Source organism: Homo sapiens, chromosome 12 (genome assembly GCF_000001405.40).
Source record: "Homo sapiens chromosome 12, GRCh38.p14 Primary Assembly".
Classification (NCBI taxonomy): Eukaryota; Metazoa; Chordata; class Mammalia; order Primates; family Hominidae; genus Homo; species Homo sapiens.
In genome coordinates, this window is record NC_000012.12 from 22408650 (window position 1) to 22410229 (window position 1580).

General features: G+C 45.3%; 1 annotated feature.

Annotated features, from left to right (window-relative positions):
- Window positions 1160–1239: a silencer, noted in NCBI's record as "silent region_4288". NCBI's record gives its function as "represses an Ori minimal core promoter by ATAC-STARR-seq in GM12878 lymphoblastoid cells {active_cell/tissue: GM12878}" and the evidence as "EXISTENCE:reporter gene assay evidence [ECO:0000049][PMID:35858748]".

The window sequence follows — 1580 nt, forward strand, 5'->3', positions numbered from 1 at the left end:
TGGGTTGCATTACAGGCCTGCCAGGCTGTCCTACAGATTTTGGACTACACACACGTCCTACCTTTCTGTTTCTCTGCTACAACCTTGACCTCTAGAGACATTAAGTATCTTGGAAGTAGCTTGTTCCCAGGCACACTGCCAGTAAGTGGTAGAACCAGTACAAGGACCTGAGCAGGCTGGGCCTTGAACCAAAGACTTACCCCACCACCACCACACTACCCCTCCTATGAATTCCAGTCATTAGCAGTCTAATTAAAAATTCAAGACGTGGCCCTGTGGGAAAAAGCAAAGAGAAAGAAAAACAAAACACACATGAATGCAAATAAGTCCAGTATAAAAGAGTTCACTGTGTGTAGGGATATGCAGAATATGGAGAATAGCACCAGTCCTTACAGAATATATTTTTGAGTTCTGTTAAGAAGTCAAAATGAAGAATTTGTATTTGCTTGGAAGAAAAGGAAAAGAGCATCTCCAGAGGAGTGCATGACACAGGCAAAAGCCCAAAGCAAATTCTGTAGAATCTGGCTATGGCAACCCGCCAGAATGAAAGTTAATGAGCAAAAAGCATGAAATCTGTATTAGTTCCCAATAGCTGCATAGCCGACTGAGGGCTGGAATCAGCTGAAATTCACTCTCTCACGTCTGACAGCAAGGCTGCTGTGTGCTGAGACCGTCGCTGGGGCTGACAGCCGCTTTATGTGTTCTCTTCACATAAGCCAGCTTGAGCTTCTTGAAAACATGATGGATAGCTTTCCAAGGTGAGTGTGGAGAGAGAGAGAGAGAGAGAAACTGACTCTATTATCTACTAGGACCTAGCCTCAGAAGTTGTGCAACATTTCTTTCCTTTATTTTCTGTTCTATTTTCAATTTCAAGTGGAAGTGCCCTATTCCACTTCTTGGTAGGCAAAGGTGACGTTCTTGAAAACTATGTGGGGCTGAAAATATCGTGTTGTCAATTTTGGAAAAAACAGTCTGCCGCACAATAAATCATGGGAGATTAGTCTGTTGTGAGCTAGGCCAGTATCTCCTTTAAACGCTTGTTGATAGAGACTTGGTGGGGAGATGGATGTATCACCCTCCAGCTGCTCACAGTTCCGTCACACTCTGCAAACAGTGATCTGGGCTTTGAAACCAAACCGTTGCATTTCACACCTAAACCTCAGAGATATGTGAAATGAGTATAGACACTGTCTGTGTTTTGTTATATCACAAGTTGGGGAGAGAATGCTCAGAGCTGAGTGAGCGAGCTCAGCCTGGGTGGCCAATACTCCGCTTGTGGCATTTGCTGGAATTAGAGCTAGGACGAGGCAGGTAAGGTCGTTTTCATTCAACCTAGAAAATGACTTTGGTTCAAAGCAGTAGCATGAACAGAATCTGAATGCACATGTTGACTATTCTTTCTGTCGGTGGCACATTAGCCCGGAGTTTCTGCTCTCCTAAGGTGGTGCCATGATGGAAAGTGCTATCACTACCCTGGCTCAAATGAGGCTTAGAAAGACAAGAAACTGGCTGGGCGCGGTGGCTCACGCCTGTAATCACAGCACTTTGGGAGGCCGAGGCGGGCAGATCACGAGGTCAGG